General features: G+C 43.7%; 1 annotated feature.

Moving 5' to 3' along the window:
• Positions 12,692-12,831: an enhancer, noted in NCBI's record as "active region_13423". NCBI's record gives its function as "activates an Ori minimal core promoter by ATAC-STARR-seq in GM12878 lymphoblastoid cells {active_cell/tissue: GM12878}" and the evidence as "EXISTENCE:reporter gene assay evidence [ECO:0000049][PMID:35858748]".

Consider the following 14,890-nt stretch of genomic DNA (forward strand, 5'->3'; position numbering starts at 1 on the left):
TATAATCATTATTCCCTGCCTATCACAAGTTTCACTAGAGGATTAAAAGATACCATGGAGTCAAAACTCTCAGCCCAGGGCATGACTGTTTATAAGCCACCAGTAAATGGCTGAAAAAAAATACTTTGTAGGATTACAGAGAGTTTACAAAAGCCAAATGTTATCATAGTTGTTGGAATTATTAAGTACAAAATGAGTGAAGAGATAAAGACATTCCTCCTGATTTATGGACTTTACAGTTGAGAAGACAGATGAACACAACCAGATGAAATATCTGCAAATAGTTCAGAACTTAAAGTTATAAGCCAAGAAAGTATTCACTAGAAAAAAGAAAAAATGGCTGGGTGCAGTGACTCACTGCTGCAGTCCCAGCACTTTCAGAGGCCAAGGTTGGGGGATCGCTAGAGCCCAGGAGTTTAAGACCAGCTTGGGCAACACGAGGAAACCTTGTCTCTACAAAAAATAAAAATTAAAAATAATTAGCTGGCATGGTGGAGTGTGCCTGTAGCCCCAGCTACTTGGTGGGATGAGGCTAGAGGATGGCCAGAGTCCAGTAGGTCTAGGCTACAGTGAGCTGAGAACATGCCACCACACTGTAGCCTGGACCATAGAGCAAGACTGTCTCAAAATAAGAAAAAAAAAGTCAGGTAATATCAGTTACTTTTTATTTCAAGTAAAGAAAGGTGTTTATTTCACAATCAGATAAGTTATTTTATTGTCAAAATCACTAGTGACTTAATTAATGAGCAGGTCTACCAAGTTATTATTGGGACTGCTTTTCCAAAAACTAGTTGCTTTGTTGACTTCCTCAAATATACTGTACTTTTGCCATGTTGTAATCTGTCTTCCATCTCCATTTTTTTTTCCACAGTTACTGTTTTCCTAAAGGTCACTAGTGCTCTAATTGCCACATCCAAAGGCCTCTTTTTACATTGCATCATGCTAAACCTCTGAGAGTCATCTCCTCCTTCAAACTCATGTAAAGTGATTGGCACTTGTCTCCATGCACCTGGAGCCCTCTTAACTCTACTTAGCAAGTTCCTCTTCCCTTTTGTTCCTTAAGTTTCACAAGGTTCATCTTTCAACCATGTTATCTAAGAGTAATGACCTCATGTGCCCTCTTTAAGTTAATTGATTTCCAATTTTCATCTTTCTTCTGGCTTCTCTCCGCCTCTCCCAAGCTCTGTCTCTCTGCTTCTCTTTTAAGGATTTGTTTATGCTTTTCATCAACTCTGGATTTCTTTCTTTTCTTATTTTTACTGCTCAAAGCTCTGTCATCCTTCAAGGTCCATGTCAAAATCCATTTCCTCTGAGAATTCTTTTCAGATTGTTCAGAACAGAAAGGACATTCTATCTTTTAGATTCCCATAGCACATTTTTCTTTTCCAGATCATTACTTCATTGTTGATTCCTTATGGACAAGTGTTGGGGACCTGGCAGGGAAAAATGGGTGGTTATATTATGAAATTCTTTGATTTCACGAAGGTTACTTTTTTAGTAGGAGGTTCCCACATGTTCTGTCTTCAAGAAACACACATTTATTAATTTGTCAGAAAAATACCCCTCTTTTCCCATGTGAAAACAAAGACTTGTGCAATACAATATAGCACATGAAATTATAGGCATAACAGGTTTTGTCTGCCTCTTCAACTTGATTATATGTTCCTGTAGTTATAACATAGATCTAATTTATTTTTCCCCCTGCTTCACTTAGCAAAATGTCTATTATTCATTTGTTCATTCATTCATTCATTCATCCATAAAATAATTTTTGACCAGATGTGCCAAGAACTATTTGACATAGAGATACTGAGATAGAACAACCAGGAAGACATACTACAGCCTCAAATGTCTCAAAGTCTATCGGGAACAACAATTCAAAAATTAATTAAAGGCTTAATTATAATTAAACCTTTAATACAGTGCTAGGAGGTGAGTAGAAAGCACTGTGGAAGCTCTGAAGAGGCTCACAAAATGTGTGTATGTGTGTGTGAGCCTGGCAGGAGGGATTGAAGTCTTCATGGAATAGAGGTTGCCTGAAATGATTGTTTTAGTTACATATTACTGTAATAAATTACTCAGAAATTTAGCAGCTTAAAACAGCATGCACTTATTGTCTCCTAGTTTCTGTGGATCAAGATTCTGAGCATGGATTAGCTGGATCTTCTCCTTCAGAGTCTCTGACAAAGCTGCAATCAAGTTGTTGGCTAGGGCTGTGGTCTCAACTGAAGGCTCCAATGGAGAAGGATTCATTCTAAGCTCTCTTGTGGTTGTTGGAAGGACTTGATTTTGACACTGTTGTTGCCTGAAGACCTCAGTTCCTAACTGGCAGTTGTCAAGAGGCCATCCTCTATTTTTTGCCACCTAGGCCTCTCCAGCCTGCTTCCTCAAAAGAAACATTTGAGGAGAACCAGAGAGAGAAAGTGCAAACAAGATGGAAGTCACAGTCATGTATAATCTAATCATGGAAGTGACCTCTCGTCCCTTTCATTATATTCTATTTCCTAGAAACAAGTCACCAGGTCAGACCTATACTTGGGGAAAAGGGATCACACAAGATGTGAAAAGTAGGAGTTGGGGATTCTTGAGTTTTTTTTTTTCTTTTTGGCAGGGTTTTGCTTTTTCACCCAGGTTGGAGTTTAGTGGCACAATCATAGCTCACTGTAGTGTTGACCTCCTGGGCTCAAGGATCCTCTCACCTCAGCCTCCTAAGTAGCAGGGACCACAGATGTGTGCCACCATGCCTGGCTAAGTTTTTAAAATTTTATGCTTATTTATTCATTTTTCTGACCTAAGGTCTCACTCTGTTACCCAAGCTGGAGTGCAGTGTTCTGATCATGGTTCACTGCAGCCTTGACTTCCTGGGCTCAAGTGATGTTCCTACCTCAGTCTCCCATGGAGCTGGGACCACTTGTGCATGCCACTACTCCCTGCTAATATTTTTTTAAATTTTTGGTAGAGATGGGATCTCTCTCTGTTTCCCAGGCTGGTCTCAAACTACTGGCCTCAAGCTTTCTTCCTTCCTTGGCCTTTCAAAGTTCTGGGATTACAGGTGTGAGTCACTGTGCCTGGCCAAGGATCCGTTATTAAAGGCTGTCTACCACCACAATGAGTCTTAAAGAATAAGATGTTAACTCAAGACATCTTGCTCAGGCAAATGCATGATGGAGAGAACGCATATGGCAACATGCATAGGAGACACTTTCGTGCTGCTGGGTTTTAAAGTTTAAAGTAGGAGATGAAGGATTCAAGCCTGGAGAGTTAAGCAGGGTGTGGTTTGTCATATGAAGGGGCTTGGACTTTATCTTGTAAGTTGATTGGGCTAGTATAAGAAGGAGTAACTGGAAAGTTGATATTTTAGATACCTCAATCTGGTGCCTGGATAGAGGATAGATTTGAGAGGGATACATTTAGAATGTGAGAAGCCATGAAGACCTCAGTGTTGGCAGTTTTTTAGGGTAGGAGAAGAGGAAATGGGCTTGAGATATTAAAAAAGGTAAAGTGGGTTGAATTTTATTTGTTACGTCTGGGGATACTTAGAGAGAAACATCTTTCAGACAGTGTGGATATATATCTATGAAGTTCAGGAAAGATCTTAGCCCCAAGTTTGCGAGTCATATAAATATCAGTGGTGGGTACAATTAGAAGAGTTGAAGAGAGAATGAAATGAAAATGAATCTGGGGAATAGAAGTATGTAAAGAATGTACAGAGAAAGAGAGGCCTGAAAGAATAAGAAGGAACAGTCAGAAATGAATGCCAAGAGAAAATATTGGCCAGGCACAGTGTCTCACACCTATAATCCCAGAACTTTGAAAAGTCAAGGAAAGAGGAAAGCTTCAGCCCAGGAGTTTGAGGCCAGTCTGGGAAACATAGAAAGATCCCATCATTCCAGTCAAAGGATGAGAGGTGTTCAGATGCAGCAGAGAAATCCATCAGGATAAAGATTGAATGTCACTTTCACATTCATTCATTCACTCAATTCTTTATTTACTGGGCACTGAGCAAGGTATGGGCCATGAACAAGACTTGACATTTTTCCTTCCCCTAGGGAAGTTATAGTCCAGTGGGTAAGATGGACATTGGAGATAGTTACAAGTACCCAAAGTAAATACAGAAAGTGCCATGAGCAAAACTAAGAGGGCACAAAATATTCAAGTGGAATCTTTTTAAAAAGCAGAGCAGGGGCACAGTTTTAGAGGTTCCATCAAGGAAATCTCTTTTACCAAGCCAGGCAGGAAGGCTGGGGTGCGGATTCCTAGCAGCTCTCCTCTGTGGCTTAGGTGTCCCAGCTTGCTTGGAACAATTTAGGTCTATCATTTGCCTTTTTTTTTTTTTTTTGAGGTAGAGTCTCCCTCTGTTGCCCAGGCTGGAGTGCAGTGGCGTGATCTCGGCTCACTGCAACCTCCACCTCCCGGATTCAAGCGATTCTCCTGCCTCAGCCTCCTGAGTAGCTGGGATTACAGGCAAGTGCCACCACGCCCAGCTAATTTTTGTATTTTTAGGAGAGACAGGGTTTTACTATGTTGGTCAGGCTGGTCTTGATCTCCTGACTTCGTGATCCTCCTGCCTCGGCCTCCCAAAGTGTTGGGATTACAGGTGTGAGCCACTGTGCCTGGCCCAAGGTCTATCATTTGCTAAGGTAACTGTACAAAGTACCACAGACTGGGTGGGTTAAAGCAGCAAGAATTTTTTCTTTCACACAGTTTTGCAGTCCAGAGTCCAAAATCAAGGTGTCAGCAGGGCCATGCTCCCTCTGACGCCTGAAAAGGAGAATCCTTCCTTGCCTCCTCCTAGCATCTGGTGGTTTCTGGCAATCCTTGGTGTTCCTTGGCTTGTAAATGTATCACTCCAACCTCTGCCTCTGTTGCCACATGGCATTTCCCCTGTGTGTCTCGGCCTTCCATTCGTTTTGTCATCTTCTTATAAGGACACCAGTCATACTGGATTACGACTCATCCTAATGAACTCACGTTAACTTGATTATATATACAGACTTGATTTCCAAATAAGGCCACATTTACGTGGACTGGGAGTTAGGACTTCAACATATCTTTTGGGGGGACACAATTCAACCCATAACAGGAGTTGTTTAAGATTAATTAGTAAAACTTCACTAAGGACAGTTTCAGTAGATGGATGAATATTAGTATTATTACAGGATTTGCCTGACATCTGCTCAATAAATGAATTGGATAAGATAGATGGTAATCTTTGCTTTTCTCGTATCTATGGTACTGTGTTAGGTCAGAGAAAACTGTTTCTGACTAGTGCTCACCACTGAGAAAGGAGAAAACATATTGGCCTGGCCTTTGCTAGCTCACAGGCCTTATTGGCTGGGCTGAGGCTTTTTTCTCTTTTCTTTCTTTCTTTTTTTTTTGAGACAGGGTCTGGACTGCAGTGGCATGATCACCGCTAACTGCAGCCTCAAATTCTTGGGCTCAAGTGATCATCCTGTCTCAGTCTCCCAAGTAGGTGGAACTATAGGCATGCGCTACCATGCCTGGCTAATTTTAAACATTTTTTAGAGATAGGGTCTCACTATGTTGCCTAGGCTGGTCTCAAACTCCTGGGCTCAAGAGATCTGCCTGCTTCCACATCCCAAAGTGTTGGGATTATAGGTGTGAGCCACCATACCTGGCCTAGAGCTGCAGTTTCTTTCTTTCTTTTTTTTTTTTTTTTGAGACGGAGTCTTACTGTGTCGCCCAGGCTGGAGTGCAGTGGTGCTCTCGGCTCACTGCAACCTCTGCCCTCCGAGTTCAAGCGATTCTCCTGCCTCAGCCTCCCAAGTAGCTGGGATTACAGGCATCTGCCCCCTCACCTGGCTAATTTTTTGTGTTTTTAGTAGAGATGGGGTTTCACAATCTTGGCCGGGCTTGGTCTTGAACTCCTGACCTTGTGATCCACCCACCTTGGCCTCCCAAAGTGCTGGAATTACAGGTATGAGCCACCACGAAGGGCTGAGGTTTCTTAACTGTTCTTGGCCTCACTCATCATTTGCCCAAAGAAAAGTCTGACCTGATAGGGGAGCCTCAGGGTGTCAGTGTGTCTCTGAAATTGTGTATAAAAGAGTTGTTTTTTTTTTTTTTCAGATGAAATCTATTGTACTTGTCACAGGAGTCTGTGACTCAGTAACACTTAAGAGCCACTGGACTGGATTTCCTATATTTAACCGCACATTAGAGTCACCTGCAGAGATTGCAAATGCCCCATCTCAATCCCAGAGACTCTTTTTCAATTGGTCTGGGAGAGGGCTTATCCATCGGTATTTTTTAAGTTCCTCTAGTAATCTTGGTGTGCAGCTGGGTTGGGCACCACAGCACCAGACAATTCCTACACCCACCCTTTTGGCACTAATATTCAGATTCTGATGGTCTCTACTCTTTATATAAATAATACGGCATATCCCATCAAAACTGCCATTGCCCTGGGGAGAGGGCTTGTTTACAGCCTGAGTATTAGGACTTAATATACTTCTGGTATGCATTTCAAGACATTCCCTTAGGCTTCTTCTGCTGGACTCCTCTGCTGCGCTGGGGTGGGGACCTGGCTCCTGGGGCATCTCTCCCTTGCTTCCCATACCACTGTGCATTCAGGGAGAATCAGCTCCACAGAGGAAGTCACTGTGGAGCTTCAAAGGGGATGCACTGAGAGGGCCCACAGGGGGCTGCCAAGCGAGCCTCCAAAGTGGAAGGGGGAATGTCAAAGAGAAAGCGGGTGGCAAGCAAGAGGTGCTGGGGATGGGGTTATGCAATGCGAATCGGAAAAGTGAGCCAGTTCCTGAGCACAGGCCATAGTTGCCTTTGGAGGGTGACTCAGCAGGTTACTTTTCAGGAAGTGTTTTTTCTTCATTTTTTTGTTTCTTTTTAATGAGCAGGTGAAGGGCATCAAATGAACAGACAAGTTACTAAGACTGAAAAAAATTCAGTTTCTTTTTCTTTTCTTTTCTTTCTTTCTTTTTTCTTTTTTTTTTTTTTTAATAGAGACAGGAGGCCAGGTGCGGTGGCTCACGCCTGCAATCTCAGTACTCTGGGAGGCTGAGGCGGACGGATCACCTGCGGTTATGAGTTCAATACCAGCCTGACCAACATGGAGAAACCCTGTCTCTACTAAAAACACAATAATTAGCTGGACGTGGTGGCGTGTGCCTGTAATCAGCTACGCAGGAGGCTGAGGCGGGAGAATCACTTGAACCCCGGAGGTGGAGGTTGGAGTGAGCCGAGAGGGTGTCACTGCACTGCACTCCAGCCTGTGAGACAGAGTGAGACTCCATCTCAAAAAAAAAAAAAAAAAAAAATAGTTTCCCTATGTTGCCCAGGCTGGTCTTGAACTCCTCGACTCAAGTGATCTTCCTGCCTTGGCCTCCCAAAGTGCTGGGATTACAGGCGTGAGCCATTGCCCCCAGCCTTTACGGTTTCTTATGCTAGATATGGAGATTGGCATTAATTGCTTAATTAGCTATCTACAAAAATAATCTAGTGATTCACACTTCTCTACTGTTGTCTGCAGACTGACATTGTATAATCCAGGTGTCTCTCCGACACTGATACACAAACCAAGGCTGATAAACGCTCATATAAAATGGCCATTCCACAGTTGATGGCCCAGATACCCAGAAAGACACATGGCCTCCCGCATTTGCCGTTTATCTCTGCAGACAGGAAAGCTAGGTGTGGGTGTACTGTGGATCGGGTGACGGACATGGCCCCTTTGGGCTTAAAATTGCCCTGCCGGCAGCTGGCATGACTCAGCTTGTGTGCTGCAGCCAACATAGCGAGGCCAGGCAGGGTGGGGCTGAAGGCAGTGGAGCGGAAGAGATCTTCCCCAGTTGCTCTATTTTAAGCTACAGGGTCTTCTAACAGGTTTGGTAGGAACTGAAGTACTGGCTGAGGAGTGAGGAGGGATTGCATAGTTTCGAGGTCCTTGGTTTAATAATAGTTTACACTTTTGGATTCCTTGATCTGTGCCAGCTTCTGTAGCTCGTGCTTTGCAAATATAATTTCATCTAATCCTTCCACCAACTCTGAGGGCTAAGTATCATTATCTTCATTTCTTTCTTCTCTCTCTCTCTTTTTTTTTTTAATAAAAAACAAGAGCGCACTGAAGATTAGGAGGTTTAAAAGCCTGCTCAAAGTCAGAGGACTGAATGCAGAGGTAGTGACAAATATTAGAACGGTCTGATTTTAATGCCTGCGTCCTCAAGCCTCACAATGTAGCCACCCGTGGCCTCTCCTCAAGGGGAGTTAATTCAGCGAGCATTTGTTGAGGGCCTGCAGCATGCCAGGTGCTTTGCTGGGCATGGTGGAGAGCGCAGTGCTGACACATGTGGCCCCTGTTATCAAGGGATCAGTATCCTCTAGGAGGACCACCCAGGGAAATTGCCACATGTTTGTTTTAGTCTCCATTTTATCCTTTAATGGTGGTGTGATCATGGCTGATCTATGTAGTCTGGGATAACATTTTTTTTTTCAGCTATTAAAAGACTGTTGTGAATCCAGACGAGAGTAAGGATGGGGACAGTGTGTTGAAAAGTAACCGGAGCTCAAAAAGTGAAGCTTCATTCATCTTTCCCGAGCTACCTGGAGTTTGGATGGACTGGCTCTGAAGCAAAGGAGGCTCAGGTCAAGCTCAGGCTTCTTGCCTCATCCAAGATCCTTTCTTTCTATAGACCTCACATTCTGTCACTCCTTCAGCAAATCCTGGCAGCTATGTCTTCTGAGTATGGCCAGAGTATGACCCTTCTCTAATCCCCTGTACACAGAGCCACTATCATTCCATACCCGGGTGCTACAGAGGCCTCCTAACTGGTCTCCAGCTTCTGCCCTTACTCCTCTTTGATCTCTGCTCAAATAGCATTTTATCAGAGAATGCTTGAGTACCTGTTGAAAGACTATGCCCCTACCATCACTCACTGTATCCCAACCTGCTTTATTCTTCTTCACCACTTGGTATAGATCTGCTCATTTGCTAGTCATCTGATGCCCTCTCTTGAATGTAGGGCCCTGAGGGCCAAAGCCTGGGCTCTTCCATGCACTGCTGTATCCCCCAGATCAAGAACCTGGCAGGCAAGGCAATAGGGGCTACCATGCTTGACCTCTTTCAGTTTGTTCTCAAACTGGTTTGCCCTTTATTTTTTATTTTTTTAATGAGATGGAGGAGTCTCCTTCTGTCATCCAGGCTGGAGTGCAGTGGCACGATCTTGGTTCGCTGCAACCTCCACCTCCCTGGTTCAAGCAATGCTCTTTCCTCAGACTCCCGAGTAGCTGGGATTACAGGCGTGCACCACCACACCCCCAGCTAATTTTTGTATTTTTAGTAGAGAAGGGATTTCACCATGTTGGCCAGGCTGGTCTGGAACTCCTGACCTCAAGTGATCCGCCCACCTCGGCCTTCCAAAGTGCTGAGACTACAGGCATGAGCTCCACGCCCGGCCTGCCCTTTTAACTCTTTTTTTTTTTTTTAAATACAGAGTCTCGCTCTGTCACCCAGGCTGGAGTGCAGTGGTGCCATCTCCGCTCACTGCAAGCTCTGCCTCCCGGGTTCACGCCATTCTCCTGCCTCAGCCTCCCCAGTAGCTGGGACTACAGGCGCCCGCCACCACACCCAGCTAATTTTTTTTTTTGTATTTTTAGTAGAGACGGGCTTTCACCGTGTAAGCCAGGATGGTCTCAATCTCCTGACTTCGTGATCCACCTGCCTCAGCCTCCCAAAGCACTGGGATTACAGGCGTGAGCCACCGCACCTGGCCTTAAATCTTATTTTTAATATTACAAAATTCAGCATATAGAGAAAGGTAAAAAAGGGAGGAGAAATTTGTCCCTAATGGCAGTCCCAGCAACAACCACTGTAATACATTTAAAACCATTTTGATTTTTAATATCATTTTTGTTTGTTTGTTTTGAGAGAAAGTCTTGCTCTGTTGCTCAGGCTGGAGTGCAATGGCGCCATCTCGGCTCACTGCAACCTCCATCTTCAGGGTTCAAGCGATTCTTCTGCCTCAGCCTCCCCAGTAGCTGAGACTACAGGTGCCCACCACTACGCCTGGCTAACTTTTGTATTTTTAGTAGAAATGGGGTTTCTCCATGTTGGCCAGGCTGGTCTCTAACTCCTGCACTCAGGTTATCTGCTCACCTTGGCCTCCCAAAGTGCTGGGATTACAGGAGTAAACCACGGCGCCTGGCCTGATTTTTAATATAATTTTAAGAGTAGTTTAATTACAAAGACTAACCAAGCCTTATTTCATTCCAGATGTTCTGAATTTTGACGTTTTACTTAAAGCATTTGAACAGTGGAGTCAGCCTAATTTGAAGTCTATACTTACCGTTATGAATGTTTAGCATTATCAGGTAACCCTTATCCAAATATTTTGGGAAAGTAAACCCTAAAAGGAAACCCATTATACACCGTAAGCTGCTCTTTATGTGTCTAATGCCCTGACAATACAACAACTTTATTCACATGATCACTCATTAATTTATTAATAAAATATTTATTCACCACCTACTACATGCTGTACATCCAGTTTCTGTCTCAGTTTGAACCTTGAACTTCCATGCTGTTGTTCTCGTGAGTTTTCATCATGATGATATAGTATGTCTGTCAAGCAGAAGCTGTGGTTTGTGGTTGTGGTGGGGGTGAGGGAAGATGGCTAGGTTCAGAGCTGGTAGGTATATTTTTATGATGAAGCCCATGATCAGTTTTGAAGTGGGAACAGTCTTGGACTCAGAGATAGAACAGGGTTCTTGTTCCAAGCGCTGCAACTTACTTGCTGAGAGATGGTGGAAAGTCACTCCTTCTCCAGATGTCAATTTCCATGTCTGGAAAATGTTAGGTTGGGTGGGGGTAATTCCTTAGCTCTCATGAATGATTCATCATCTTGGCCAATTTTCTTGTCATTTGCCACCTAATTTATAAGTTGAATGCAGGGGAAAGAACCAAACCAAACCACCTGCTTACCCAACCAACCCAACCAGTAAAGCCATGTCCTGGCAACACTTCTTGTCTCCTGCTCAGATTTTCTGGTATTCCAGCAGTAGAAAACAGTTCTTCATGCTGCTTTGTGTTTGTTTGTGCTGATCTTTGGCTATTTCTGAATTGGAGGAAGATTCTCTGGACTTTTTTAGAGCCTCCCACTGGCAAAGAAGGGCAAAAAAATCTGAGGATATAACCTACCCCAAACAATACTCAGAGTTGGGGTCAAAATATTGATAGTCACTTGGTGGCTTCCTGATATCTCAAATCCAATATTTTTTGTTTTTGTTTGTTTGAGACAGGGTCTCTATCGCGCAGCCTGGAGTGCAGTGGCACAATCTTGGCTCACTGCAACCTCCACCTCTTAGGTTCAAGCAGTTCTACTGCCTTAGGCTCCCAAGTAGCTGGAATTACAGGTGCATGCCACCATCCCTGGCTAATTTTTGTAATTTTAGTAGAGATGAGCTTTCCCCACGTTGGCCAGGTTGGTCTCGAACTCCAGATCTCAAGTGATCCACCCACCTCGGCCTCCTCCCAAAGTGTTGGGATTACAGGAGTGAGACACCACGCCTGGCCCAAAATGTCTTAAATTAAGAGCATTTTAGGCTATTTTGTTCTTGAAGCTTGGTCAGTTACTGCTACTTGTACATCATTTCAAGTTTTTAATTATTTAAACATAAACCATGAGTTTGACTTTTATTTAGGTCAACTTTCTATGAAACAGAGGGAAATAAGCCACTCTGAATTGGCTAATAGTTTAATTCTATGTCAAATGTAGAATTTCTTTTCTTTTCTTTTCTTTTTGAGACAGAGTTTCACTCTTCTTGCCCATGCTGGAGTGCGATGGTGCGATCTTGGCTCACCGCAACCTCCGCCTCCCGGGTTCAAGTGATTCTCCTGCCTCAGCCTGCTGAGTAGCTGGGATTACAGGCATGCACCACCACACCCGGCTAATTTTGCATTTTTAGTAGAGACAGGGTTTCTCCATGTTGGTCAGGCTGGTCTCGAGCTCCCAACCTCAGGTGATCCACCTGCCTCAGCCTCCCAAAATGCTGGGATTACGGGTGTGAGCCATCATGCCCGGTCTCTTTTTTTTTTTTTTTTTTTTTTTTGAGATGGAGTCTCTCTCTGTCATCCTGGCTGGAGTACAGTGGTGCGATCTTGGCTCACTGCTACCTCCGCCTCCCAGGTTCAAGCAATTCTCGTGCCTCAGCCTCCTGAGTAGCTAGGATTACAGGCACATGCCACCATGCCTGGCTAAGTTTTGTATTTTTAGTAGAGACGGGTGTCACCATGTTGGCCAGGCTGGCAAATGTAGAATTTCTAAGCTGTGCTTGATATTGTTTTGTCATCTAAACAGGAGATTTTTCCACAATGGTAGCTTCAACCTGAACACCCAAGATGACATGTGCCTTTGGAATGTCACCTGACAAGACCACACTTTGTCTGTAAGAGAACACCAGTGTCTGGTAACCCACAAACCTTGTTTGGTCTCTGTGAGGAGTTCTGTTTCACCCGATAGCCGCAGCCTCTCTGTAGAGTACAGTGTGACCACATCAGTCATTGGATTTTGTGCCAGGGATTCCCATGAGAGAACAGATTGCATTTGTCTGTAAATGTTTCCTTAGATAATGTGCAGTTTCTTTGGTTGTTTTTTCCCCAAAAACAAACATAAAAGGGGTGAAAATTTTCCAGCTCTTTATTTTGATGTTTGGCAGGAATATGCTTTGATATATTAAGAGAGGTTTTGGTGTGTGTGATATTCTCTGTTACTCCATGAACCTCCTGCTGCTGGGCAGACAGAAACCAAGCTCTGTTGCCTCAAGGGACAGTTGTCATAGCAGAACCCGAGAAATAAGAATCAAACTCTTGTCTTTTAGTTTTAAAAGCTAACAGCCAGGTGGAAGATGCAAAAGATTGAGAAGAATAGGTGGCCAAGGCGAGTCAGTTTTTCCATCGCTGAAGATAAGATAAATCTACTTGTCCAAGACAGAAAAGACTGGAAGAGGGGAACAGTTTAGTGAGGCTGGGGACAAGGGGACCAATTGAAGCAGGCGCTGTTTGTCTTCACCACCAGGAAGCTGTGATGAGCCTCCATGGATCCTCTACAGACCCCACGCTCTGTTTAGAAGCATTCTTCACCTTCCACATAATTTAGGGTCCTTCTCCTCCGTGGGCTACTTGTGAGCAACACTTGCTTGCACCCCATCTTTTTTCAGCATCTCACTGCTCACTGTGGAGGATTCCCCTTTCAGCAGCCTAGGAAATTTAAGTTGCCAAGAAGCTGCCTTTCCAATTCCTTTTTTCTTCCCTTAAAATCCTAATTTACTGTCTCTGAACAGAAGAATTGTGGGTGCTGGCAGGCCTCTGCTTCTGGTAGTCACTCTTCAACTGACCTCATAGAGATCATAAAGCTCTCAGAATTTGGAGCTTTTTCTTTTTCTTTCTTTTTCTCTCCAGAAATATGCTTACCCAAGAATATGGGGCTAGACCGATTTACCAAACAACTGCAAATTAACTAATTCAGATGTGTTAATTCTGAATTTTTTTTCAGGTACAGATAAGAACCCAAATTATTCATTGCACTTAAAGAAAACATAATTCAAATTAATCATACCACTTAGCATTAATTAATGTACTAGTTCATTGCAGAATCTATTGCCCATGGTCAATTCCACCAAATCAATTTCAGAGGCTGCAAGTCTAGAATTATCTCTCTTCATTTGTACTCTTTCTCCTCACCAGAAGTCAGTATATTAAAACCTGATTTAATTAGATACACTCAACAGGGGATGGTTGAGCTTTCTTTCATTTCGTCAGTGTAGGATTCTGTTATAAATAATCCCAAAATAGAAGTTGTTTAACAAAATTAAAAGTTCATGGGTTGCTCACAAAAAGTCTAATGCTGTTGTTCCTAGTTGAGAGGTCTTCTAGTCTTCTCTCTTCCAAGGGGCCATCTGGGGATCCAGGATCCTTCCATCTTGTGGCTCCATATTTTGGCTTCCAGGTCACTGTTATGCACTGAATTGTATCTTCCCCAGATTCATATGTTGAAACTCTAGCCCGCAGTTCCTCAGAATGTGACTCTATCTGGAAACAGGGCCTTTAAAGATGTGATTAAATTAAAATGAAGCTGTTAGGATGGGCCCTAATCTAATGTGACTGATGTTCTTAGAAGAAGAAGAGGAAATTTGGAGATATAAAGAGACACCGGAGATGTGCTCACAGAGAGGAAAGCCCACGTGAGAACATGGCGAGAGGGCAGCTGTCTGCCTGCTAGTGAGAGAGGCTTTAGGAGAAACCAAACCTGCCAGCACCTGGGTGATGGGCTTCCAGCCCCCAGAACTGTGAGAAAATAAATTTCCGTTCTTTAAGCCCCCCCCAGTCTGTGATATTTTGTCATGGTAGCCCCAGCAAACTAATACCTGCACCTCAGCATCATCCAGGGAATGGATGAGTGGAGTGAGAATCCCATCTGGGAACTCTTCATGGCCCAACTCTATAAGTAGTATATCTTTTCCATCTATATTCCCTGGTCCAGAATTTAGTCACAAATGGTGGTGGCTTTAATAAGTGTTCACTAATAATTAGTGATTAAATTGTTTATCTATATTATAAGTACTCAGATACATATGGTGCATATCATAGTGAAAAAGTTAAAAACAACAACAACAACAAAAAATTCGGCCGGGCGCGGTGGCTCACGCCTGTAATCCCAGCACTTTGGGAGGCCGAGGCGGGCGGATCACGAGGTCAGGAGATCGAGACCATCCTGGCTAACACGGTGAAACCCCGTCTCTACTAAAAATACAAAAAATTAGCCGGGCGTGGTAGCGGGCGCCTGTAGTCCCAGCTACTCGGGAGGCTGAGGCAGGAGAATGGCGTGAACCCGGGAGGCGAAGCTTGCAGTGAGCCGAGATC

The sequence above is a fragment of the Homo sapiens genome, chromosome 18, assembly GCF_000001405.40.
Source record: "Homo sapiens chromosome 18, GRCh38.p14 Primary Assembly".
Classification (NCBI taxonomy): Eukaryota; Metazoa; Chordata; class Mammalia; order Primates; family Hominidae; genus Homo; species Homo sapiens.